The sequence below is a fragment of the Homo sapiens genome, chromosome 3 (assembly GCF_000001405.40).
Source record: "Homo sapiens chromosome 3, GRCh38.p14 Primary Assembly".
Lineage (NCBI taxonomy): Eukaryota > Metazoa > Chordata > Mammalia > Primates > Hominidae > Homo > Homo sapiens.
The window spans coordinates 72,300,808-72,328,460 of record NC_000003.12 but is presented as its reverse complement, the minus strand read 5'-3'; the positions used below and the strand labels follow the sequence as shown (position 1 = coordinate 72,328,460).

Below are 27,653 nucleotides of genomic sequence, written 5' to 3'. Positions count from 1 at the left end.
TTTCAGGTGGTTTAATTTCACACCTACAGGTGAGTTACAGTTCACCTGTTGACTCCCATAGGAAGCCTTCCCTAAAGCTTCCAGACTGGATTTCATACACCTTCTTGGAGGTCTCCTGCACTAACAGCCTTGCAGAACAGTTTTCTATTGATGGGTCTGTCTTCTTGCTTAGACTGTTCGTTGCTAAAAGGCATGGACTTTGTCCTAATAATCACAGTATCCCAAGTGCCTGGAACAGGGTCTGGCACTAGTAAATGCTCACTAAATGCCAGCTTGCTGGCTGATTGACTAAATAATGACTGCGCAAATGTTCACTGAATAAATCAGTAAATGTTTGTTGCCTAATTACTATTAAGTGAATACATAAATAGTAGGTGCTCAATGCTGAATAAATGAATGAGATATTAAATTCTCTATACATGCTGGTTGGCTGAGTGAATGAATTAATAGTAGCTCTTAATAAATATTTTCTGGATAAATGAATGAATACATGAATTGTTGGTAGGTGCTCATTAAGTGTCTGTTGCCTCACTGGGTGAATGGATGGGTTGGCTGGTAGATGATAGATGGGTTGGATTGGTAGGTGGATGGATAGGATAGCTGGATCAATGGATACGTAGATTGGTATATAGATGGATAAATAGGTGAATAGGTGGAGGTAATGGGTAGATGCATTGGTGAGTGGATGGATGGATGCATGGATGGGTGGATGGATAGGTTGGTATATAGATAGATGGATAGCTAAGTAGACAGAAACAATGGGTGGCTTGGTATATAGATGGATGAATAGGTGAATAGGTGGAGGTAATGGACAGGTGGGTTGGTGAAAGGATGGAAGAATGGAAGGGTAAGTTGGTATATAGATGGATGACTAGGTGGGTAGGCGGAGGCAATGGGTGGATTGGTATATAGATGGATGAATATGTGAATAGAGGTAAGGGACGGGTGGGTTGGTGAGTGGATGGATGGATGGGTAGATGGATAAATGGATGGATGGATGGGTATGTGGCATATAGATGGGAGGATAGTGAATACATAGAGGCAATGGGTGGGTAAACTGGTATATAGATGGATGAATAGGCGAATAGATGAAGGTGACGGATGAATGGATGGATAGGTTGGCAATAGATGGATGGATAGGTGAGTAGATGGAGGCAATGAGCGAGTGGGTTGGTGAGTGGATGGATGAATGGGTGGATGGGTAGGTTGACATATAGATGGGTGGATAGTGAATAGATGGAGGCAATGGGTGAGTGGGTTGGTGGACAGATAAATTGGTGGATGAGTAGGCTGGTATATAGACGGATGGGTGGTTGAATAGATGGAGGATGGGTGGGTAGATTGGTGGATGGAGGGATAGATAAGTGGGTTGGGAGGCAGACCCATGACTTCGACATTGTTAGCACAGGACAATCTGTGTGATGCCATTTCTGCCAGATAAATGGCAAAGAATAAGTTATCGACAGAACCCTAGGGCATGCTGGGTCTGCACTCAGCAGGACAGCCTGAGGGTTTTCTGGGCCACCAGCTGTGACTTTGGAAACCAGATGGATGATGCATCTTGAGCATCAGGAGGAGGCTGTGGAACTGTTTTAAATGTCAGGATATCACCCAGCTATGAGATTGGGGCTTGACGTTTGTCATGTTCCTGAGCATTTGTTTTAATGACTAATTATTTCCCTTTTCTGACATGGCTCCTTGGAAGGGGAGCAGGGGAGCTTGGCTGGAAGCTGGAGACCTGTGCTCGCTCTCAGCAATTGAATTCACTAACAAGCCAGAAGTGAATTAACCCCAACCTGCCAGGTGCAGAGCAAAACCTGGAGGCCCAACTCCCAGGCCCAGCCAGGTGCTGCTCAGCTGGGAGTCCCTTCCAGGGTTGGCTGGCACCTGCAAAGAATCCAGAAAGATTAAGCCAAAACCCAGGAGGATATCTGAAGAGTTAAGGAAAGGTAGATTGTTGACTTGAAAGTTACTTGATTTTTCCCCAACACAAAAACAAGATAAATGCCTCAGGTGATGGATATCCCAATCATCCCGATTTGATCATTACAAACTGTATGCTTGTATCAAAATATCACATGTGATCCCCAAATATGTACAACTATGATATATTAATTAAAAAGAAAGTTACTTGATTTTGGTCTACATGAAGTGATTAACCGTGTGTGTGTGTGTGTGTGTGTTGCAAGTACTTACTATGTATAGAACATTATATAAATACTTCACCTGAATTATCTCATGTCATCCTTGCAACAGCCCTTTGAGGTAGACTGTATTATCATCATTTTCCTCATTTTACAGATGTGGAAACTGAGGGACAGAAGTTGTTACAGTGGTTTTAAAACATGCCTGCAAATCCTGTGATACGTCCTTCAAGAAGTAAAGCCTAATTCCCTTCCCCTTGAGTATGGGCTGGGATCTGTGACTTGATTGCAAGGAATTAGAATGAGGTATAGATGGCACACGTGACCTCTGAGACTAGATTAAAATGGTGATACAGCTTCTACCTAGCTCTGTCTCTCTTGAGACATGTGCCTTTGGAGACCTGAGCCACCATGGAAGAAGCCAGGCTGCCTTGAAGCCATCATGCTGGAGAGACCACGTAGGGAGATCACACACAGAGAGAGAAAGAGCCCCAAGGAGCCCCAGCCACTCTAGTCTCAGCAGTTTGAGTCTTTCCAGCCCAGGCAGCAGACATGTAGGTCAGGAAGCCTTGGAGATGACTCTCGCCCCAGCCCCTGCCTGACTACAACTGCATGAATGACTCTGAGGGCCAACCACCCAGCTGAGCCCAGCCAGCCCCCAGAACCAGGAGTGATCATAATAGAATGATTCTTGCTATGTTTGGGTGGTTTATTATACATCCATAACTGATACGATGGTGAAATCAGCTGCCCTGTATCAAGGAGCTGGAGAAGAATGGAAACAAGATTGGAGCCAGACAGGCTGGTTCAGGAGCCATGAGCTCAGCCCATAGAGCATCCCGCCCTGCCTTCATGGTCTTGCAGATTTAGTCTATCCATTGCATGGACTGGCAAGGCACTAGACTCACCCTTGTAGGCTTGGAGAATTAATTTAAAAATTCAAGTAAAGCACTTGTGTTCAGTGCTTGGGACATGGCAAGTTCACCATCTTAGTTAATGGCAACTCCATCCTTGCAGATGCTTAGCCATAAATCTTGGCATTATGCTCAAATTCCTCCCTTTCTCTCGTATCTCACATATAAGGTGTCTGCAGACCTGTCTGGTGCTACTTTCTTTTAGGTCCAGAAAGCTATGCCTTCTCCCTCCCTCCCCCTGTCCCTTCACTGCTACATACTGGTGGGAGCCTGCATTACCACAGCAGTTTCCTGACTGCTCTCCCTATCTCAGTCCTGGCCCTTTTAGTCTCTTCTCAACACAACACCCAGAGAGATCCCCTTACAATGCAAGTCAGATCATCTCTCGCCTCTGCCCAAAACCCTCTTGTGACAGCCCATGTCTCTGAGCACAAAAACCAAAATTCTTGCTTCAAGTGATTTCCAATGCCCTACACTCTCTGCAACTCCCTCTCCAATGCTTACCTCCCTGACTCATCTCCCAACTCACCCACCCTGGCCTGGTTTACTCCACTCCAGCCACACCGAGTTCCTCGCTGCCCCTTGAACATCCTGGGCACATATTCATACTACCTTGAGGTTTCCAGTTGCTATTCCCTTGGCTCGAATTGCTTTTCCTGTTGCTGACCAAATGGCTTACTTTCAGCTCTTTCAGATCATGGCTCAAATGTCATCTTCTTATTGAGGCTACTTCTCACCACCTATTTAAAATGATGCTCCCTTGTCTCTATCTTTCCCTCTTTTTGGTTTTTTCTTCATAGCACCTGTTGCTGTAAAACACATCAATATCTTTTTTCTTATTCACCTTGTTTCCCGACTCTCTCCACTAGAATGGAAGCCTCACCAGGACAGAGATTTTTGTCAGTTTTGCTCACTGCCCCTAGCATAGTGCCTGGCACATAATAGGTGCTCACTAAACAGTTGCTGAGTGAATGAAGGGATGTTGGCTGTTGTTATTAGGGAGGCCAGTTAGGAAGTTGATGGGCTACTCCAGGTGAGGACAGACTGTGCTGTGGAGATGGAGTGGGCAGCGCTGTGGTATCTGGTGGGGAGGCATGAGGATGTTCTGGGTGTTTTGGCCTGTGTGGGAGTGTGGAGACAGGGTGGGAGGAGCCGGCTGCAAGGGAAGAGGAAGGTGGCAGGTTGGTATGGGAGAAGCGTGAGGTGTTTCTGGATGTCCATGTGAGGATTAGGTCCCTGATAGAAATGCAGGCGGGAGGCATGGTGAAAAGTCCAGCGTGGAAGAACCCTGGAAACCCCCAGAGAGTGGTAAGGTGAAGCGGCTGGGAACAGACAGAGAAAACAGAGTTCCTCACTCCAGTGCCCACACGGTCAAGTGGGTTGCGTCAGGGAGCAGCAGGGCCTATGGCAAAAGAAAGTGCGAGTGTCACTGCCAAGAGAGACAGGGACATCTCCCAGTTTCTGTCAGTGTCAGTGTGTTGTCATGTGGGAGACAGGCCCAGGCTTGCAAGAGCTTCTGGTTCATTGAGGGAAGCCAGAAATCTGAATTTTCATGTGAAATTTACTGGGATTTTTTTGAGGCAGTTCATTCAAACTTTGCAAAAGCACTGTATGGGCCAAATAAGCCACCTCTGTGAGCTGAATGCAGCCCATGGGCAATCAGCTGGCAAACTCTGGGGTAAGAGGAACAAGGAAGAAGCTGGGGCAGAGCCCTGGGGCCATGGCTGCAGGGTTTGCTCTCTGAAGGAAATCACAGGAGGTAGGAGGTTTTGGGAGAGAGTGGGTTGGAGTGCTGGGTATCACAGAAGGCCACGAGTTTGAGAATGGAAATTTGGCCTACAGAGCAACACAGAACAAGTCTGTGCAATGGTAGGGGCAGAAGCCATCTTTTCAGAGCCATCAGAAAGTTTCCACCTGCTATGGCTGAATGTTTGTGTTCCTCCCAAATTCAAGTGCTGAATTCCTAACCCCGAAGGTGATGGTTTTAGGAGGTGGTGTCTTTGGGGGGTGATTAGGTTAAGGGAGTGGAGCTCCCCATGACTGGGATTAGTGCCCTTATAAAAGAAAGAGACCCCAGAGAGCTCCCTTGTCCCTTCCACTCTGTGAGGACACAGCAAAAAAAATGTCGTCTATGAACCAGGAAGAGAGTCCTCATCAGACACTGGACCTGTCAATGCCTCGATCTTGGACTTCCAGCCGCTGGAACTGTGAGAAACAAATTTCTGTTGTTTTCAAGCCACCCAGTCTATGGTATTTTGTTATAGCAGCCTAAACATACTAAGATACCACCTTATTTACAAGGGACAGTAAGGAAGAAGGAAGGAAAGTGTCTTTGCTTCAGAGCAGAGCTACCCTAGAAGGGAGTGGTTGAGGACTGCTCAGCCAGTGTGAGGCCCATTCCCCACCAATCCCATTTGAAGGGAGATGGAGCTGCTGACACCTTCCGGTGGCCTCCTGCGATGTTGTGAATCACAGACTTTGTGAAATGAAAGGTTAATGATGTTCAAAACAGAAGAATAAGGTTCATCACTCCCACCCCCAACTCCTGTTCCAGGTGCAAGGCCTGGGGTGAGCTCCTTGGTCCGTCCACCTGAGAGCGACTGTGAGAGCTGGAAGCAGCACCGCCCAGCAGTGCTTTCCTCATGCACAGCCACCTTCTCCATCTGTGCCGCCCAGTACAGTAACCACGTGGCTGCTGAGCACGTGAAATGTGGTTACTGTGACCGAGGGGCTGGATCTGTTATTTTATTGAATTTTAACTAAAATAGCCTCATGGGACTAGCAGCTGCCATATTGGATTATGCAACTCTAGAGGTTTGGAAGAAACATCACGACTACATAGGCAATGACTCTGCCCTTCCCTATCTCCTTTCTCATCTCTCCTGAGGAGGAGGGAAGGCCAACAGGGAGCCTGGTGTCCTGGGTTGGGTCACTCTGTATTGATAAGACCCTGTGAGTGTGGCTCCCTTTTCTCTCTCTTACCTCCCAGGGGCTGGATAGCGAGGCTGAGGTGGGGCCTGTCTTCTTGGGGCTCTCAGGGTCATCTTGTCCTCTCTCTTTCTTGATTCTTATAGGCAGCTCTGGCACTCTGGTCTTATCAGGCCCAGAGAGAGCTGGACATAGACCAGGGCTTAGTGGACTGGACACAACTCCATGGGTTGTGGGCCTGAGCCTTGAGCTTCAGCTCAGTCACCCACCTACGGGTTCTGCTTGCCTGGCAGCTAGCCGGGCTCATCATAAAAGGACCACGGTTAGTTTCCTTCCCCTGATCTCTCAGGTGAGGTTGTCTCTCAGAAGGACTTGGTGGGACAGGAGTAGGGGAGGAGTGGCCTTGGTTTGGCAGGATTCAAGCATTCTTGAGTTCCTAAAACATTTGCATCTAATAGGGTCTCAAGCCCCTAACAATGGTATTTTCTTATTTTTTATTCTGGTATTCAAATAATAATGATAATAATAAAATTAACTTCACATATAATATAGAAACATATTCCCATTGTAAAAGATGAAAATAATTCAGGAAGTCCTCCCCATAGATAAAATTGCCTATAGCCCTCCTCCCAGTCTTCCTTCTGTACACACACACACACACACACACACACATGCACACACACACACACACCAGCAGGGGTGTTTTAACCCCCACTGCCAAAGATTATACTATATATTCTGTGACTTGCTTTTCTCACATATCATATCTTGGGGGAATCTTTCCATATCGGTTAATGGAGGTAGATCCCACTCCTTTTAAATTGCTGCATAGTATTCCATTGTACTCACGCAGCGTGGCTTCCTTAATCACTCCCTGTGAATGGATATTTGTTTTCCCCCCTAAATTTCGATATCAAAAACTGTGTTGCAATGAGCAATTTTGTACATACCTCTTTGTACATGTCTGTGAGCATAAGCAGACACACACACAATAGGGAGGTGTGTAGACTGTGGTTCAGCAAGTGTTCACTCCTCCCCTACCCCAGCCTCCATGGGAGGGGTGTACCTCCCATCCAGTTGACATCCAGCTTGGCCCCGTGACTTGCTTTGCCCAACAGAATGAGGGCAGGAGTGAGGGGCACCAGTTCTGACTTTAGGCCTGAAGAGGCCTTGAAAGTTCCCACTTGTCCCTCTTTGGCTTCTACTTTCATCGCGAGAGTAACACTCCCCAGGGAGCTATTGGTCCAAGAAGCCTGAGAGACACAGTCTGGAGCCCAGCCCAGCCATGTCCAGCCTAGATCAGCTGAACCCCAGCCAAACAGCAGGCAAGTAAGTGAGAAAATAAGTGCTTGTTGTTCTCTCCAGCTGAGAGTTCAAGGTTGTTACACAGTAAAAGTCGCCTGACACAAGTGAAAACTGGTAGAGCTCTTAGTGTCTGTCAGAATGTTTAATGATATGCCCTTTGACCTAGGGTTCTACTTCCAGGAGACCAGCTTTCTGAAACATTCCATGGAAGACATATGGACGGTGATCTTTAGATGGACTCCAGCTGGAGTCCCACCAGTCCAATTGATGGGTGGACTGTCCAGGCATTGAGCTTCCCGGTCACTTAGCAGCTCATACAGAGTGTCAATGAGGGGGCTAGGAAGGCCTTTATTGCCGGCCCCCTCCCCAACCCCTATCCCTTGCACAGTGTGATAGCTCCAGAGGTCAAACAGCTCCCATAGCTACACATGTGTGGGTACCACCTGGCTTTTCTGCAGCCACACAATGCTGACTTGAGAGAAAGCCTTCCAGTCTTATCATCTTAGGAGCCTTCCCCAGCAGGACCAGTGGCTCCCACACAAGAAGTTCCCGTCCCTAGAGGGCTGCGGGGGCACAAGGCTGGCCGGGGAGACTCATAAGACAGAATGCTGGCAGAAAGAATACTTTCTCATTGGGTTGAAGTTGACTATTTTCCATTCACCCCCTAAGATAGCCAATCCCTTTTACTAAAGAACCACATTTCCAGACCTCCTTTTCCCCTCAAGGTCCTCCAGTGGCATCTAGAATTGGGTTACGTGGGAGCCTTGTTGGGTGAGAAGACGCTCAGGGCAGTGATAAGGGGTTTGTCGCCTGGGTCTCCCGCCTCGTTCCTCAGCTGCTCACAAAAGGTTGAGGGGTATAAAATTGACTCCCACACAAGGCCCTGCAGACACCTTTGCAGATAAATTCCTGTTTTGTTGCGGGGGAGCCCAGATGGAATCTCGGGGCTGGGAAACAGATCTGCAGGCTGGCTGTCCCCACTCGCCTCTCGGTTCATCTGTCACTGTTCGCTCACTGCTGATAATTCTGTCAAGTTGGAGCACTTGCCTGGTTTGGCAGCAAATTGAGTCGAGGATTCTCCCCCATTCCCTGGTAGAAACTTACTGTGTCCACGGATATTGGGGGTGATGCTTGAGTTGGGACCAGGGGGTGGCTTCATGGTGGGGGCCTGGGGTTATTGAGGTCTTCATATCCAGCCAAGATTATGAGCATCTGTGCATCAGCCTGCAGTGGCTGCCCACCCACAGGGGCCAGATGAGCCGAGAAAGCTGTACTCATCAGTCATCCCTGGATGTCCACTAGCCCATCCCGAAGGACCTGCTTCATCCCAGCCTCTGCTAAGAAATCCTCCCACATAATAACAAAGGTGGGGGGCCCATTCCTTTTTAACTGCTTCATAGTATTCCATTATGTACACGTGGTGTGACTGCTGTGTTGTGGGAGAGGTGGACATTGACTGAAGTAATGTGGGGACATGACTGATTATTCACAGGCTGGTCAGTGATTTACCAGGTGCCAGGCACAAAGCCCTGCCTAATTGGTACAAGAGCGTCTCATTTCACCCTCCAAACAACTTGTAGGGTAAGTACTATTATCCCCATTTTACAGGTAGGGAAATTGAGGTACAGAGAAGTTAAGACATTTGCCCAAGATGACACAGCTAGTAAGTAGCAGGGCAAGAATGCAGCCCAGGCCTGACTTAACCCCCAAGGCCACCCTTGTAGCCACCACCTCCCTCAAGGAGAAGCAGAGGAGATGGCTGCTGAGTCATATCCAGGGCCCAGTACTCAGGAAATTTGCTGAAGTCTTACCGTTGAAAGAGAAGATAAGAGGACATGACTGCACCTCACTCTTTGTGCCTGTTAGAGCCCCAGGTATGACAATAACCCTCCCTGTCCATACTCAACAGCTGTGAGGAGCCAGGGTGGGTGTCTGGCTGCTGCCAGTGACAAATAGCTGAAACTCAGCAGCTGGATCCAAAGCCTTCGGCTTTTGGTTTTTTGCTTTTGCCTGAAATAATCAGATAATTACAGCTGAAGCAAGTCACTCAGCTTGACTTGCAGAAGCCAGTTGCCTCCTTCCTGGACTTGTTCTCCCCGAGGGAAGCCTTGGCTCTGCTGTCCCAGACTCTGGTGTGATCATCTTCAAAGCCAACACCCTAAATCCCAGCCTCAGCTCTTGTTCTGCTGCAACCAGAGAACCTGGGCCTGGGGGCTTCAAGGAGATGCTCAGATTGACCCTTCCTGGTCGCAGGGTGTGGGACGGGGTTGCAAATATTGCCAACTGAGTTCTCCCCAGCTCCGACCATCCTGTAAGCAACCCGGAGCGCTGGGGGCCAGGCTGGGCTGGGCCTGGTGCCTGGCCGCTCCCAGCAGATGTGCCATTTGAGACTCCAGCATGCTCACTCTTCTGCCTCCAGCAATCCCAGGCTGGGCCAACGCTAATATTTACATTCAAAGGCAAGGCTGCAGCTCAGGGCTGCTTCCGTCCCTGTGGCTTTCCTGGGCCCAGGGGATAGATTTGCAGAGCAGGGTGTTGGGAGACAGCTTGTGTGGGCTGAGCGAGATAGCAGGCAGGGAATTAGGCCCAAGGACTCAAATAGCAAAAATAACTGCAGTGATGATAATAGCAACTATTTATAAAGTACTTACGATATGCCAAATGCTGGGATAAGTCTTTCCCATGCATTTATTTATTTATTTATTTATTTGAGACAGGGTTTCACTTGATCACCCAGGCTGGAGTGCGGTGGCCCGATCACGGCTCACTATAGCTTCGACCTCCCAGGCTCAGGTGATCCTCCCATCTCAGCCTCCCGAGTAGCTGGGACTATAGGCACATGCTACCATACCTGGCTAATTTGTGTATTTATTTAGTAGAGACAGGGTTTCGCCCTGTTGCCCAGGCCGGTCTCAAACTCCTGAGCTCAAGCCATCTGCCCTCCTCAGCCTCCCAAAGTGCTGGAATTACAGGCATGAGCCACCGTCCGGCCATCCCATGCATTTTAACTTTAGTTCTCATCCCCAGTGCCCCAAGGCAGGAGTATCACAGTTTTACAGGGTAGAAAACAGAGGCAGAGAAAAGTAAGTAACTTGGCTAAAAATCATACAGCTCGGAGGAAGGGATCTGGGTGCACAGCTGAGCGAATGTATCTTGGGACTCCTAAAATCAAATGCCTACAGGGGCTGGGTGGTTTAATTCGATGAGTAAAATCTGGTAAGTTTAAGGGACTAGGGAGGGGTGGGGATTGGGGCCACGGGGATGGAACACACCATCTATTGCCCACCTCCAGCTAGTTGTTGCTGCAAAGAAATGTGTGCCCTGTGGGGCCAGCTTGTCTGATTTTCAAAAGAAAATCTTAGCATGTTTGTTTCTACAATCGGGGGGGAAACACATATTTATACATCTACAGGTTTTTATTTGAAGTCTTCTAATTTTTCAATGTTGGCAACACATTCCTTTTCTAAAAAAAAAAAACACAGCCGGAGCCAAGTCAAACATGTGTTCGGGTGACAGCACTGCTGTAACTGCTAAGCCCAGCTCGCTCACACTGTGCTCTACCTCCACCACGCAGGAGGCAGGACTGCGACTTCAGCTTGGAGAACCACAATCTGGATTGTCACCCCTGAACCTCTTTCGAGGTGGATGTTTGGGTGCACCCTTGGATCCAGACCACTAGGTCTTTGCTGGGCCCTGCACTTCAGAAGGCCTCACTCAGGTCCTCCTATAGCCATGCCTCCTTTCCACCAGGTGGAGGATCTGCTGGGCCTAGAGACCCCTGAATTTCCTGACCCAAAGGCCTCGAGTCCACTTTCAGGACCTGCGCGTCAGTTACCTGTTGCTGTGTAATAAGCCACCTAAACTTAGGGGTAGGAAGCACCAATCATTTCAATATTATTCTCAATCCTCTATGGGTTCTGGGGGCTGACTGGGTCAGTGGAGAGGCTCTTCCTTGCGCCTCTCCTGAGGTCCTGTCAGAGGGTGGCTGGGCTGGAATCACTCACATCTGCAGTTGATCTGGCTGGGGCTGACACTCTGGCTGAACTGTGGCCAGAGCACCTGCACGTGGCACCTCCATGCGGCTAGTGCTTCCTCACAGCCTGGCAACAGGGTTCAAAGAGGGAGGACCAGGAGGAAGCTGAGCCACCTTTTATGACCTAGCCTTGGAAGTCACACAGTGTCACTTCCCCGTGCTTTATGGCCTGAGGCAGTCACAAAAGTTCATCTGGATTCAAGAGGTGGAGTTAGAGACTCTACTCCTCTTGAGGTGGACGGGTAAGGTCACATTGTAAGAAGAATCTATGGGACGGGAGATACTTCTAGGGCTGTCTTTGGAAAATAGACTCCATCTGCAACAGCCTGCACGCTGCTCTCCCCGAGGTCTTCCTGAGGATGCACCCTGCGGGAGGCAAGGCCAAGGAGCTACTGCCGGGGCTGGGGTGGATGGAGCCAGCTGCAGGCTGGGCTGGCACCCGCTGGGCGTGCACACAACACACACAAGGCCCTCTGACCCTGCCAGTGTTAGGGGCAGCCTGCCTGGAGAGCAGCACAGGACCCTTGGACTTGCTTTGAGGAGTCCCTACTGAGAGCAGCATGTGAACAAGATAGAGGACCGCTCCTGGGGGATCTGAGTGATGGCCTCCACTGAGAAGAAAGGGGTGTGGGGAGGAGAAGAGAGATGGAGATAAATGAGCCTGCTGTGTGTCCACCAATGTCCTGACAAATAAGTCTTGATTGAGGTAGAAGGGAGGCTCAGGGCTTGCAGGATGCTGTGCGGGATTGTTCGTGGGACTCCAGTTTGCAATGACACACTAGCCAGTTATCACACAGTGAAAGTCACTGGGCAGATTTGGGCCAAACTGCAGGCCTCTGTAGAAGGCAGGTGTTAAAGCACCGGTTGTGCATATCTAAATCACCTGGGGGGACCTGAAGACCTACTGATGCCTGGGCCTGCCCATCTTCAGGATTCTGATGCAATTGGCTGGTTTGTGGCCCATGCCTGGGGGTTTTTAAAAGCTCCTAAACAATTCTAATATGCAGCCAAGTTTGGGGTCCACTGAGCCAGAGGAGCAATAGCTGGAGGTTCTTGGGCCTTAATGAGGGAATGGCTTGAATAAGCCCAGATGGCAACGGAAGGCATTGCAGGTGGGAACAGCTGCAGCAAGAAGGGGCCATGGGAATACACACTGCAGAATTTGGGGTAATATTGGGGAGCAGTAAAACATAAGGTCAGGTATTCTAAGGTGCTGGTATTAGTAATAGTAAAAAATGGTGGCATTCTGCCAATCATGTGCTTTACTGATACATTCTTACTAGGTTCTTACAACAACCCTGTGAGGTAGATATTTTAATTCCCATTTTACAAATGGGAAAACAAAGGCTCAGACAGACTGTATGACTTGCCATAGCTAACCCTGAGCTGGGATTTTAATCTGTGACTCTTGAATTCTGAAGGTCGTGCTTGGAGGGTTCCTGGTGCAAACGTGGCGCATTCCAGAATTGACGTAGAGGTAACATAAAGCCAATGTAGTGAATTGGGGTTCTAGTGAAGTGGTGTGTTGGAGTAGGTATCTATGAGGTGGTGAGCATGGCAGGGTAGTGTGGAGGGGAGAAGATAGGATGGTGTGTGTGTGTGTGTGTGTGTGTGTAAGAGAGAGAGTGAGCGATTAAGCGAGAGAGAATGGTGGCCCATATCCCCTAAAGGAGGGTTCAACTCTGGGGACCTGAACAGCTCCTTTCAAGCTGTGCTTCCCTTTTTGCTGGGGGCAGGTCACTTGAGGAGGCCTGGACAGTCTTCTCCAGCCTGTGTGGTCTCATGGAGCCTCAAGCCTCCCGGCCTCAGCATGTGCTATTCTATTGAAATCTTACACGTTTTCCACCTGTTTCAACGCTGCTTGTCTTCGCATGCCTTGCTGAGATGTCACTAGCTCCTGGGGTCAAACTGAGTTTCAAGTTTGAGCTCTGACACATACTAGTCCTGTCTTCCTGGGAAAGTTACTCAACCTCCCTGATTCTCAGTTTCTTCAGGTGTAGAAGGAAAATAGTAAAAATAGTCCTTGCCTCAGAAGGTGCTGGGAGGTTTCATGTTAACATCATGCATGCAAGCTTTTAGGATAGAGCCTCATTCAGAATGAGCGCTCCTCAAAGGCTGCACCCACCACTCTCTTGTAGCGCCCACAGCTGTATAATGGCTGCCCCTCTTCGAGACTGGAAGTCCCTTGAGGGCAGAAGCCATGACTGGTCACCACTGAAGCCCTATGCCCAGCATGGAGTAGGCATGGTAGGGGTTGTTGGATGCTCATTCAGTACCTCTTCCCTCCTTGCCAACAGAACCCCAATGTTGCTGGGAGCAGGGATGTAGCTACCAAATAGATCCCACTTTCCATACTCCTTTGCAGCCAGAGATGGCCACGTGATGCATTCTGTCCCACCAGGTCATCTTAGGTTGGGCTCCTAGAAACAGACTCCTTGAAGCCAAGAGTCAAGGGCAAGTAGCTTATTTGGAAGGTGATTCCTGGAAGGGGAAATGAGACAAGGAAGAGAAGCCAAGTGCAGAGAGTGTGAGTGAGCAGCACATTATTGCTGGGGGTAACTGGGGCCAGATCCTGCTGGGAACCTTTGAGAGCTAGTGTACAACAGGTCCCCAATTTTCCCACCTGAGGGCCAGAAAGCTGGGGTGTTTGCCCACCAACTGCTGTCTGTCATTGGTTGATGCTGCTTCTGGGCAGAATTAATTCTGGCCTCTCTGTGTGGCAACCTGAGCAAGCTACTGGGGCTGAAGAAAGGAGTCTGTAGAAGGAAGGTTCTGTAGAGCCCAGATGATGAATGTCAAGGGGATGTGGATAGGGCAGGCCCCAACAGTGTCTGTTATGGAAGCGTAAGTCTACATTGTTGCAAGAGATTTCCAGAAAAGCCCCCAAATGGAGACCGACTCATCAGATATGGCCCCTTTTTCTCAGGATCTCCCCACTTTCCTTTTGCATAGAATACAGGCTTAATGGCTAGAGCTGTGGCAGCCTTCTGTGTACATGAGGCAAAAGCCTAGAGAGCCACCAGGACTTCTCTCTGTTCTGACACCTTTTAGTTATTATTTACTTGTGGACATTATGTCTTATAAGAAAAATAAAACCCCTCTCTTTAGCGTTTTAGGTGGCCATTGATATGTGAGTCTCCTGTTACTTGCAGTGTAACTCAATAGAAGTTCAATAATTCAAAAATGTTGAAGAATGAGTGAGGAAGCGGTGGGGTGGAGTGGAGAGCATCACTTACTTATAGAGATGCCCAGAGGTTTGACTATATTCCTAGGCCGTAAGCTCCTGAGAGCTGGACAGGGATTATTTTTGCTCTTTATTTTATCCTCGGCATTTAGACCAGTGCTTTGTAGAAGAGACTTGTGATCATTATTTCCTGAATAAACAAATAGCCAATGATCCTGGGGAAGGAGAGGAAGCTGCAGACGCTCTAGATACAATTTATTTGAGTTTGCATTTATGGAAAGTCTTTTCATATACTAGATTGTACTTCCCTTTTGCTAGAGGGAGAAGGTTTGAGGAAGGGAGAGAAGTGAGAGCAAATGAACTAGGATAAAGTATTAAAAGTTGGGTAGGTTAGATTTCCTCTCCCTGAGCCTCAGTTTTCTCATCTGTAAAGTGGGGATAATAACCATACCAGAGTTTGTTGTGGGGATGAAATGAGAGAATGTATAATCAGTGATTTGCAGAGTTCCTGGCTCACAGTGGGTCCTCAAGAAAGGATACTTAATTATTATTATTGTTTTTGTTATTACTAATAGGTACCAGTACTGGACCCTGCAGAAAATAACTAAGACATGGGTCCTTATCCTCAGCCCATGATTCCGATAGGAGGAACTCACTGTATTATGAGGGAGGATAAATCGTATGATTTCCAGTTTATAACTGGAGACATAGACTCTGAAGTGTTATAAAATGTACCTGAGGGCCTGGTACAGATCTGTAATCCCAGCACTTTGGGAGGCTGAGGTGGGAGGATCGTTTGAGCTCAGGAGTTCAAGATCAGCCTGGGAAACATGGTGAAAACCTGTCTCTACAAAAAATAAAAAAAATTAGCTGGCTGTGATGGTGTACACCTGTAGTCCCAGCTACTCGGGAGGCTGAGGCAGGAGGATCACTGGAGCCCAGGAGGCTGCACTGAGTCATGATTGTGCCACTGCACTCCAGCCTGGGAAACAGAGAGACTCTGTCTCAAATAATAATAATAATAAAATAAAAGATAAAAGGTACCTGAGATCAGCTGACTGGTTTGTGGCAGGGATCTCCCAGCAGCACCATGCAGGAACTCTGGAGGAATACTTGAAGTGTTACTAATTTAGGGACACATTCAGCAAAAAAATTCTGTGACTTGGTCTTGTACCCAGGATCAACATTTGACAAGCATCCCAGGGGGCTCTCTGATGGCAGCTCTAAGCCCAATCTTGCCTCACCTACTTCCCTCCCATCCTCCAGGCCTCCAAAACCTCCCAAGGCCATTCCAGCTCTAAACTGGAAAATGCGTTTGTTGAAAGGGGTTGAATTGGCATGAAATGACTAAAGGAGGTGCAGTTTAGCAAAGCCACGAACTGGAGCTACCTTCTAAATTAGGATGAGGGACTTTCTTTTCCGGATTAGTCATTGAGCAAGCTCCTTCATTCTCAGAACTGCCTCCGTGCTGCTGGTTGGACAGTTATTCTCACCAACAAGAAGGTAGACGATGGTTAGTCTATCTGCAGCTGCTCCCGCTTACTGAGGGGAAAAGAGAAGACTTCCCCTTGTAACCTGGCTGGGAGCCTTCCCAAGGTGGGTGAGGACATTTCCAAAATATTTTTTATGCTAATTAACGGAGGTATTAAAACGTACTGGCTAAATAATGCTGCCATTGAAAGAAGCAAAGGATGGAAGCACGTCTAACTTCCCTGTAAGTAGGCTTTCTTGTTGAACATTAAAACTCCCACAAATTCCCCTGTGGCTTCATCATAGACTCTGTGGTGACCACTACCTATGGACCACTGTTATGAGACCACTGTCTCATAAAGTGACTTTCTAAAGGCCTCAGATGGTCATCTTCAGAGCGTGGAGGAACAGGGGCCTGGGGCTGAGAAAACTTGATTGGTTTCAGCCTCAAGAAATCAGTACCAGCCCAGGTAATGTTGGGCTTTGGGTCTCTCCCTGTGCCTCCTTTGATAGTTTGGTGTCTTGAGGCACAAGGCAAGGGGACCTCTCCTTCCTCCAGCATCTTGTCACCTAAGAGATTATTTTCCTTTGGTGACACATTCCCACAGTCATAGGTCAATTTTTTTTTGTGAAACAAATCAGCAAAAAAAATCATCATGGGTCTTGCCATAAATCCTCAAGAGCATGTAGTGGGGTGGCGGGTGACTCTGAAAGTATGAAGGCATGAGGTTTTTATTCCTGGTGTTTCTCTCTACCCTCGTCCCCTCCTCCATTCTGGCTGCTGTGTGCATTTTGTTCTCATTGCCTCGGGAGAGGCAGCAACTCGGAGAGAAGAGAATGTCAGCTCTTGGCCTTGGAGTTGCAAAATCTTAGGCCTGCGGGGAGGAGAAGGACTGATGGGCATCAGTGACGGAAGTGGGGAGGAGAGCTGGGAACAAGATGAATTTCTGGGCCTGGAGATGGCAAGGTTTCTTCTGGGTGGGGAAGGAAGAGAGATGGAGGGGACACAATAAAGGAGAGAGGTCCTGCGGCCATGTGGGCTGGAGGAAACTCAGTTTCCAGGTACTGCCCAGCCCCTCCTGGAGAGGGGACTTGGGTCACCCACCAACAATGCCCAAGGGCTCTCAGTCAGCACCTCCACACCCTCCAGCTTATTACTGCGTTACCATACAGCATCAACACATGGGAGTTGCAAAGGTGGTCCTTTCTGTGGACAGCTGGTGGGACCTCCTAGCTCAGAGGGGAACCTCCAGCCATGTCCCGAGTGCTTGTCTGGCACCTTCGACTTCTCCCTCATGGATGTTCCTGTTTCAGCATCGCAGGCCATCTGCAAACTGTGGAGATGGGGTGGGGGCCTGGACACCTGCTGGGGTAGCAGTGATAGAAAGGACAAGAGGACAGGGTCCCTCAGCACTTCTACCTCCTTGAACCTGCCAGAGTCCACCTGCGGAGGTGGGGCGATGGTGAGCCGCAGCCCCCAGGAGCCCTTTAACTACAGAAGCTCATGGCGTGCAGAGGGAGGCAAAAGATGGGCCATGGAGTCACGCGAATCTGAGGACTGGCTCCAACTCCACCTTTGTCTCCCTCTTCGGAAAGCTGAACAGGGTGCAACGTGAGAAGGCGATCTTCCTTCCTGCCTTGCAGGCACTCTGGGGACGCTGCTTGTTTGCTCTGCTCTGCCAACTCTCCCCTGGGGACTCTCCTCCCCAGCCAGGCTGCCCTGGAGGGTGGAGTCTCCCCGCTGTCCTCCTGCTCCACCCCTCAGTCCACAGACCTTTTCATTTAAAGAGTTCATTGCTACAGGAAACAGATGGTAGTCACAAAAATAATAAACAGAGAGAATTTCAAAGGTTCCGGAAGCTCAGAGTCATGGTCTCAGGCCCGTCGTTAAAGACTTCCTTCTGAGATGGGGCCTGAGAATGACTGCAAACACTGTTGTTTCAGCCACTGGGATGGCCGGGCAGGGAACTGCAGTGCTGAGAGCTGTCAGCCCCTGGACTAGTGTGTAACCCTCACAGTCGTCTTGCAATGGGAGGGTGTCATGACCCCCACTTTACAGATGTAAAAACTGAGTTCAGAGAGCAGGATTGGCTGCATGATTTAGGACATTCAGTGTAAAATAAAAATGTGGGGTCTTTGGTTTAAAAATTAAGAACTTCAAGACTGAAACCACAGCAGACTGTTAAACCAAGTGAGGTGTCCTTCTGATCACAGGCCCTGAGTGACTGCCTGGGACACAGGCTTGTGAAGTCAGCCCTGTCAGAGATTAGGTAACTAGCCCAAGGACACCAGCTAGTGAGAGGCAACCGCGGCTTCCATGCAACGTCTAGGACAGCCTTCAATTGAATTTTGCTATCTTCCTGGTCTTTACCTGTGGACACCCCCATCCCTCCCTCCCACCCGCCATGGCTTGGCTGTCGGCATTATTTTTATAACTTAAAAAGAATCGTTAAAAAGTAAAGCATGACTTTAAGACGCCAACACTACACAAATCCTGATGTTGCTCCCAGAAGCCCTTTGGCTTTTGCTAAAACGGAGGCGGAAGAGGTGATTGGGCATTGCCCCACCTCCTCCTCCATTCAATTAACTTGACAAGGAAACATTTTTGAGACAGATGATTCTCATTTTTAATGCAGTTTGAAAGTCCCTAGGGGCAGGAAGACACTCGGGCTTGCCTACTTCAGGAAGTGGTGTCTTCCCTCCAATTTATACGGACTTTATTTTAAGAGACCTCAGCTGGCTCAGTCCACATTGATAAGCTTCCCCAATGGGATATGCATAATATAGGGCTTACAGTACACATTCAACACAATATCTTAATACATGTTTATACGAATATATATTTGTATTTTATGCTATTATCACAGTGGTTCTTAGAGGAGAGAATGACTTTACCCCTTAGGGGAACATTTAGCAATGTCTGGAAGACATTTCTGCTGTCACAGCTAAGAAGCAGCTGCTATTGGCTTCTAGTGGGTGGGGTTTGGGGGTGCTGCTAGACATCCTACCATGCACAGGGCAGCCCCCCACAACAGAGAAGTATCCAGCCCAAAATGTCAGTGCTGAGGCTGAGAAGCCACAACAAGCAATCATAATTAATTGGTATTGTCAAGGAATGAAAGATTACTGGGACTGGAACCCCACTTTGTAAAAAATCTACCCTTAGGAAATAAATTTTTGAGTGCTGCCAACTGAATTTGTGACTATTATGTAATAACTAACTGGGTCTCAAGTTAGGAGTCAGTTGAACCTCAGATAATCTTCACAACTCCCCCCAAGAAGTTTGAATTCTTTTTTTTTTTTTTTTAGAGGCGAGGTCTTGTTATGTTGCCCAGGTGGGTATCGAACTCTGGAACTCAAGTGATGCAACCTGCCTCGGCCACCCAAAATGCTGGAAATATAGGCGTGAATCACCACATGCCTGATCAGAAGTTTGAATTCTTATACTCATTTTGCTGATGAGAACACTGAGCCTCAGAGAAGAGAGTTAGGGAAGGACTTCCTGCAGGTTGTTTTACCCAGAGATGCTGTCAAAGAGTCAGCCAGGACAACCTGGGGTTCTTTTTCTCAAAGATCTACTTTTATCTCTTGGTACCAGGCCAGCTGGGCTTACTCCGCTAGTTGGAGCTGGGGGACACCCACATCCCTGCCTCTGGTTTAAGAATCTCTCCTCCTTGCATCTGCTCACAGTAGATCCTGTTTTTCCTTCCTTTCATATACCGCATCTACAGTACTATCTACAGTACTTGCTTTTTCTTTAAGGGAAGCACCCTCTTCCCAGAAGCTAGAGGTAGACAGACTCTGAGTCTGGGGATGGAGTGTGTAAACCAGGTGATAGCAGCCGATGTATTAAGTTCTTCTGCCCACAGTGACTGGCTCAGGATAGTCACATAATCCAGTCTGAACCATGAGAGGTTTGCTGCCCTATTGCTACCCCAGAGGACCCAGCCTAAGGCCGAACTCCAGTGAGCTGCCAGATAAAACACAGGTGGCCCTGTTAATTAATTCAACAATGAATATGTTTTTAGTACAAGTATGTCCCAAATGGGCCGGGGACAGTGGCTCATGCCTGTAATCCCAGCACTTTGGGAGGCCGAGGTGGGCTGATCACTTGAGGCTAGGAGTTGGAGACCAGCCTAACCAATATGGTGAAACCCATTTCTACTTTTAATAAAAATGCAAAAAATTAGCCGGTTATGGTGGCCTGTGCCTGTAATCTCAGCTACTCAGGAGGCTGAGGCAGGAGAATAGCTTGAACTCAGGAGGCAGAGGTTGCAGTGAGCTGAGATTGTGCCACTGCACTCCAGCCTGGGTGACAGAGTGAGACTTTGTCTCAAAAAAAAAAAAAAAAAAAAAAGAAAGTATCTTCCAGATATTTAGTGGGACATACTTATACTAAGAAAAGTACTTCTTGTTTATCTGAAATTAAAGTTTAACTGACGTTTTATATTTTTATTTGCTTAAATCTGACAACCAGTCAGTGGAAGCTAAAGAGGAGCTGCCTCTTGGTGACATCATGTGAGCCCTGAATTGTACCTAAAGCCAAACTGTGCATGGACTTGTAGCTGAAAGATTGTTAAGGAATTTTCTGGACCTCATCAAGGCCTTGGCCTTAGGAAACGTAGAAAGTCTTGTGAGGTGACTACACTTCCTTGCCCGTCACAGTGCTCAGCGTCCAGCGACAATAAAGACTTAATGGGTAACAAGGCTCTGTGCATAGCTCGCTTCTAATAACTACCTTCATTTTTTGAGCATTTACCATGCCTGAGACACTGTGCTTTAACTTAAACTACTTCCCACCTTCAAATATGTGTGAGATAAGTAACATCACACCCATTTCACAGGCGAGAAAACTGGGGTCTGGAAAGGTGACTTACCCTTGACTTCAGGGCACAGGCTGAGAAAATGAGAAACAGAATTTGAACCAGGTCCTCCTGGCTGCAAAGCCTGTGCTGCTTTCTTGACAGCTTGCCACCTCTCAGGCCCCACACCTTGCCTGCTGGTCAGGCCCCTTGGAAGGAACCTAGTGTTATCCCTGACCCTGCTCTTCCTCTCTCAGCCCCTGAAGGCCCCCATTAGCTGCCCACCTCCTGCTTGAAACACGCCGCAGAACATCTGGAAGCCCTAGGAGGCCGTTTCTTTGACAACCTTCGATTTAAAAGCTCATGGAAATTCTTGCTCCAACTGCTGTGACGTGAGCAGCCCAGGTACACAGTCCTCTGGAGGCCAGAAGGGGCTGCCAACATCTGCTTCCCATTACCCGGGGGAGGGACTTCACCACCAGCCGCTGGTAACAGGAGACCCTGGCCTCTGATTTATGGCCCATTTGGAAGGAGGCCTCGGAGCAATTACTTGTTGGATTGAGCCAGGCGAGGGGCTAGAGCTTTGCAAAGCGGAAAGCAGCCCCTGGCTGGCAGCGCTTTCTCCCCAGGAAGACAGGGACTATCCAGTGAGTACTTTCTTATTGACTTAAGTTACCTAACTTTCATGGATCATTGCCTATGTACCAGGCACTCTTCCAAATGCTTCATGAATATTCACTCAGTTAAGCCTCCCTAGAAGGGAGATGCTATGATCATCCCATTTTATGGTTGAGAAACTGAGGCCCCCAAAGATTATACAGCTTGCTGCAGTCACATAGCTAGGCATGTAGACTCTGCTGGGATTTGAATCAAGGCCCCGGAATCCAGCAACCGTTATGCTGCTCTGCAAATGAATAATCTTTAAAACATGTAAATTGGACCACCAGATTCCCAGCTCAGAACCCCCAATGGCTTCTAATGACAGAGTGAAACCCAAAGTTCTCAAACTGTAAGAACCTCTGGTCTTCTCTTCTCTGTCTTCTCCTTGCCTATTCCCCTCCAGCCTTCCTTGCCTGTTCTTGCTTCTTTTTGTTCATTTCTTTTCTTTTCTTTTCTTTTCTTTTCTTTTTCTTTTTTTTAAAAAGAGAAAAACCAGCTCTATTGAGCTATAAATAACATCAGGCTGGGCATAGTGGCTCATGCCTTTATCCCAGCACTTTGGGAGGCTGAGGTGTGGGGGTCACTTGAGCCCAGGAGTTTGAGGCCAGCCTGGGCAACACAGCAAGACACCACCTCTACAAAAAATTAGCTGGGCATGATGGTGCACACCTGTAGTCCCAGCTACTCAGGAGGCTGAGGCAGGAGGATCTCTTGAGCCCAGGAGGTCAAGGATGCAGTAAGCTATGATTGTGCCCCTGTACTCCAGCCTGGGTGACACAACAAGACCCTGTCTCCAAAATAAAAAATAAAAAAAAAATTAACGTCTCATAAAACTCACCCATTTAAAATGTACAGCTCAATGGTTTTAGTATAATATATTCAGAGTTGTGCAATGATCATCACAATCAAAGTTTAGAATATTTTCATAATCCCCAAATTCCCCATCAGCGGTCATTCCCATTCTCCCTCCCCTCCAGCCCCTGGCAACCATGAATCTACTCTCTGTCTCTACAGATTTGCCTATTCCGGGCATTTCATACATATGGAACCATACAATATGTGTTTTCATTTTGTGACTGGCTGCTTTTACTTGGCCTAATGTTTCAAGATCCATCCACGTTGTCTCATGAATCAGTACTTTATCCCTTTTAGAGGCCAAATCATATTGTGTGGTATGGGTATGCACTTTATCCATCCATTCGTTGGTAGGCATTGGGGTCATTTCCACTTTTTGGCTCTTATAAACAATGCTGCTGTGAACAAATGTGTATTTTGCCTGGACCTCTGGTTCCTTGGACACGCTAAACATGCTCCCCTCGCAGTGCTGTTGCCCTTGCCATTTCCTCCTCCTGGCTGCCTTCCTCCAGGTCTTCCTGTGGCTGGCCCCTCACTTCATATCCCTGTCCTCACACCACCTCCTCACATGGGCCCTCCAGACCACCCCCTCTACTTGTCATTCTCTCCCCCATCTTCTGCTTTAGTTCTCTTTCTTGGCCTTGCCAGTACAGGAAATTACTCTATATCCTTATTTGAGTACTGGGATTCTCTCTGTTTCTCTACCTAGCGTGGAAGCTCCATGAGGATGGGGACCTCCTTGGTCTCAGTGCCTGGCGCATAGAAGGTGCTCAATCAGTAGACAATGTGTGAATCAAGCAATGCAGCGGAGCCTGGATGACTTGCTCCAAGGCAGCACAAGGCTTCTAAGTAGTGAGCAAGACACCCAGTGACTCCAAACGGTAACCAGGGTGCTCTCATGATTGCTACACCTGCAAGGTCTCGACTTAGTCTTTCGAATTTCCCTGCAAGCGTAGAGGAGAGAGAAGAGCAAACCAATAAACCAATAGGATGCTGCCACAGGAAGCAAGGACAATGTGGCTGCTAAGAGTAGGCACTTTGGCAGGAGACGTCTGGGTTGTTATTAGTTACTTCTGAGCTTGGTGACCATGAACCAATCCATTTTATTTTCTGTGCCTTGGTTTTCTCAACTGTCCAAGGGAAGTAATAATAGTACCTTCTTTACTAGATGTTTATGAGGGTAAATTGAAATAATGTGGGTAAAATGTTGGACATATGTTGGCTATTTTTGTGTGGATGGATGTAGGCATCAGGAAAGCAGAGACAGCAAGGAGGATGGGCAGGTAACTAGCCTGGAAGGGAAGGTGGGAGGAATCAGTGCTGGTTTCCTGGGGGAGGTGGCATCTAAGCTAGGACCAATAGGACTTGGTCCCGGGGAACATGACGTCTCTTCTCTTTCTCCTCCTCCAGCTCAGGATCCAACATATCAGAGGAGGACTCCAGGAAGTCATTCTACCACCTCTGCCTCCCTGCTGACGAATCCGATATTTGGTGAGAAGCCTCCTAGGACAAGAGGCAACTTGGCATAGTGCTTAATTTCAGAGTTCAGGTCTGATGGGGTAACCTGGTGTTCAAATATCTCTGGCTTCCTGACTGCCTAACTGTGTGCCCCTGAGCCATGTGCTAAACCTCTCTGGGCCATCATGTCCTTGCCTATAAGTGGGGGTGATGAGAACAGTGCCAACAGCACAGGGTGAGAATTCAGCGAGGTAATGCCCGGCGAGCACTTGGCACATGGGGAGTATCAAGTCAGTGTCAGCCCTCAGCCTTGGTGGAATCCCTCTCTCACCTCAAAGTCTCCTTGCCTCCAGTGTTTTCCCAGAGCAGTAGCAAAAGCAGGCAACTAATTTTGCTTAAAGAGCTGGAGCAAAGACTGGGAGAATGGAGCCCAGGTCAGCCCCGTACTTGCCATGTGGTTTGGGAAGAGTGAATCCACCCCGCAGAGCCTGTAGGAAAACCGTCACTGGTAAGGGGGAAATGAGATAAAGGCGGTGAAGCCCTTGCTGCTTCCTGTCTCCCTGGGAATCCCTAAGAACATTCCCCAGCCTCCTCCTTTGCCCTCATCCCTCTCCCAGGGCTTAATTGGGCAGCTGCCGTCAGTTTGCACTTAACCTTCTCCCCATCTGCCCTCGAGGGAAAGAATTAATGCTAATCCCTGAGCTGCTTCCCTGCCTGTCGAGGGAAGTGTCAGAGTGCAGGGACCTGGATCCAGCTCAGCTCAGGCTTCCCAAGTAGTGCAGCCCAGCTCCAGTGCTCAGGGGCTCCCCAAACATGCCCACCCCAGAGTCTCAGCTCCTCTGTGCTGGAGCAGTGGGGGACAGCCCTCCCAGCCAGTGAGCCACCTTCCTCCTCACCCAGTTCTTGTCCCTCTAAGCCCAACACTGTACTATAGAAATACAATGTGAGCCACGTAAGTTATTTACAATTTTCTGGTAGCCACATTAAAAAAAAACCAAAGGGTAATAGATGAAATTTTAATAACACACTTTATTTAAAGCAATATATCCCAAATATGATCTTTTTAACATTAACCAATGTGCACAGTTTTTAAGAAGATATTTTCTGTTCTTTCTTTGCATACCCAGACTCCCCAGTTTGGTGTGTGTCTTATACTTTTATGGCACATGTCAATTTGGATACTAAAATTTTCATGGGAATACTTGATCCGCATTTAGACTTCACAAAACTTATAGCTGAAAAAGATTCACCTACCCAAGTTGATCGAGACCCTCATAAAAGTTTTCCAATCACTGAATCAAGTATGAGTTTTTAAGTTTAAATGTAATAAAAAAATGTAATTAAATAACATGAACAGTTCAGCTCATCAATCACATTAGCCACATGTCAAGGCCATGGCTACCATATTGGGTGGTGCAACTCTGGCCTTCACCCAATTTCCCACGCTGCTCCTTGGCAGCCCTCTCCAGGAAAATGTGTGGTGCACTGGAGTTGGGAACTCTGCCTCCAATTTGCTGTGTGACTTTGGGTGAGTGTCTCTGCCTCTCTAGGCCTTTCTTTTCCCAGCTCTCAAATCCTTCCATTTAAAGAAAGTGAGTGCCTATGCTCACAACACCTTGTTCTAGGCTCTGGGAATGCACAGCAAAGAGCACACGGTGCCCCTTCTCACAGAGCTTCATTCCGGGCTGGGAAATGGTCATCAGAGCTGGGATTACATTTATGGAACCCTTTCTATATGCCAGGCACTGTTGGAAGCCTTTGACATTAGCCAACTCTTTTAACCATCACGGTAGCTTCATGGGGAAGGTGCTGGCATCATTGTTTCTCATGAGAAAATTGAGCCACACAGAGCATTAAGAAACTTGACCAAAGTCTCCCAGCTTACATGGGGCTGTGGTGGGATTTGAACCCAGTCTGCTTGGCTGTAGTGTGAGTGCTTTCATCACTTCCTTCTACTACAGGTTGAACATTCCTACTTCAAAATTCCAAAATCTGAAGCAGTCCAAAATCTGAAACTTTTGGGGCACTGACATGAAGCCACAAATAGAAAATTCCACATGTAAGTACTCAACACAAGCTTTGTTTCATATGCAAAATTATTGAAAATGTTTCATAAAATTACTCCTTCATCCTATGTGTATACGGTGTGTATGAAACACAAGTGAATTTCCTTTACTGTTTTTGTACTCACAAACCCTCCCTTCCACTCCAAGCCCTGTAAGCATCTGCAATCTTGGCTAGTTTGCTGCTTCCGAGGTGCCTGGGGGTTCATGCATTTTAGACTTTGTGTGCTCCGGGGACTAGACATGATTTCAAAGTGCTGCTGACTTGGGTCCCAATCCCCAAAATATCTCATTATGTATATGCGAATATTCCAAAATCTGAAACAGTCTGGTCCCAAATACTTCGGATATGGGATACTGATCTCTCTAATGAATGTAGAGTGGCAGTGATGGCTGCTGAGAAAAGCAGCAAGGCAGAAAAAAAGGGGGAGAGGCTGCCATTTTAGATGGAGGGGAAAGAGGCCCCCTCTCCTCCAGGCTACACAGACCATCCCTAACATCCCTTGCACCTCAATCAAGGGCCTACCATGTGCCAGACTTTTAAAGGGTCTTGGAGGCCCCAGGCAGCGTGTGATGGGCCACGGTCTGTGAAGGTGTGCCCCGCATTGAGGAGGAGCCGGGCATCTGAACCGCGAAGCACAGCCAGGCCTGCCAGGCAGGTGTGCCATGTGGACTGGGAGCCGTGGCCAACAGCTGCCAGGTGGAGCCAGGCTTGTGCCAGGGACTGCGGTCAACAGAAGCAGCTGCCCTCCAGTGTTTACTGAGCATTTATTTTCTCTCCTTCTTTCTTCTTTCCCCTTTTCAGCCCATCTTTCCTAGCCTTACCCCTTCTCCTTTCTTCCCTCTCTTCTCCCTCACTCCTTACCTCCCATCCACCCACCTATCCAGTGTTTATTGAAGGCCTACTATGTACCAGACACGGTGTCAAGCCCTAGGGACACTGTGGTGAATAAAATGCTCCTGTCCTCAAGGAATGTTATGGTCCATTTGGAAGGACCCATAAATAAATCTGTAATGTCTGCTGAGAAAGGATGTGTGTGCTCTTTGAGAATAACAGTGAGACGAATTGGGGAAATTAATTACTCTTTGTACATGGAAGGACACTATAGATAAAGTTCAAAGGCAAATGATAGGCTGGAGAAATATTCGCACCGTCAGGGATGCAGAAGGAGCCCACATCTATGTATAGAGCTCACCGTCAGGGCCTGGCATAGAGCGCCATTCCCTTCACAGCGGGGCTTGCTCTTATTTTTTTCACTCTCCTTTTTTTTTTCAAATGCACCCTCTGTTCTACATAAAATGGTTGTGTCCTGTTGGTAGATCAGGGGCCCAACTTCCTGACTCAATGATTATGACATGAGGTCAAACAAGAGAAAAGGTGTCATGGGAGCAATCCACCCAAGCTCCAGCCTTGAACTAGAGAGAGTCCCCGACCCAAGGATCTTGAGTCCAGTGTGGGTGACAGTGCGGACACTAAGCAAAGGCTTTTCAGGGTAGTTTGTGGGAAGGGGCGGCATAGGTGTGGGGAGCTTCGAAGAGGGTCCTGCTGTGCAGACTCTTGGGGGCAGGAAGGGATAGTGGGAAGAGTGACAGCTAAGGGGAGTCCTGAAGCATGGGGAGTAGTTAGCTAGGTGCCAAGGGGAGGGGAAAGTATTCCAGGCAAAAGGAACTGCTTGTGCAAAGGTCTAGAGACAGAAAAGTTTAGACCCCGACATACACACACACACACACACACACACTCACTGCAGACACAGAGTCTCCTCCATCTTGCAGGAGTCTGAGTCAGGGAATCATGAAAGATGGGGGTAGAGAGGTAAATGGGTCAGATTACAAAGGG

The 27,653-nt window shown here is 48.1% G+C and overlaps 2 long non-coding RNA genes across 5 annotated transcripts in view, besides 4 other annotated features; both read left to right on the top strand.

Moving 5' to 3' along the window:
- Positions 9,112–9,653: an enhancer, noted in NCBI's record as "H3K4me1 hESC enhancer chr3:72367959-72368500 (GRCh37/hg19 assembly coordinates)". NCBI's record gives its function as "activates a minimal SCP1, AML or CMV promoter by ChIP-STARR-seq in primed H9 embryonic stem cells {active_cell/tissue: H9 hESC(primed)}" and the evidence as "EXISTENCE:reporter gene assay evidence [ECO:0000049][PMID:30033119]".
- LOC105377159 (uncharacterized) lies at positions 11,356–16,109 on the top strand. The gene is made up of 3 exons (XR_940960.2): positions 11,356–11,566; positions 12,746–12,801; positions 15,964–16,109. It is a non-coding gene; the product is annotated as an uncharacterized LOC105377159 (long non-coding RNA).
- Positions 17,446–17,625: an enhancer, noted in NCBI's record as "active region_20085". NCBI's record gives its function as "activates an Ori minimal core promoter by ATAC-STARR-seq in GM12878 lymphoblastoid cells {active_cell/tissue: GM12878}" and the evidence as "EXISTENCE:reporter gene assay evidence [ECO:0000049][PMID:35858748]".
- Positions 17,806–18,115: an enhancer, noted in NCBI's record as "active region_20084". NCBI's record gives its function as "activates an Ori minimal core promoter by ATAC-STARR-seq in GM12878 lymphoblastoid cells {active_cell/tissue: GM12878}" and the evidence as "EXISTENCE:reporter gene assay evidence [ECO:0000049][PMID:35858748]".
- LOC105377158 (uncharacterized) overlaps positions 21,044–27,653 on the top strand; it is a 32,683-nt gene continuing 26,073 nt past the window's right edge. For 3 of the 4 annotated variants that reach the window (XR_001740750.3, XR_001740748.3, XR_940959.2), the window contains exons 1-3: positions 21,202–21,427; positions 23,706–23,786; positions 25,715–25,812. This is a non-coding gene — a long non-coding RNA (uncharacterized LOC105377158). The other variant, XR_001740749.3, reaches the window with a different exon arrangement.
- Positions 24,149–24,443: an enhancer, noted in NCBI's record as "tiled region #8765; K562 Activating non-DNase unmatched - State 6:EnhF". NCBI's record gives its function as "activates a minimal TATA promoter and a strong SV40 promoter by Sharpr-MPRA in K562 cells {active_cell/tissue: K562}" and the evidence as "EXISTENCE:reporter gene assay evidence [ECO:0000049][PMID:27701403]".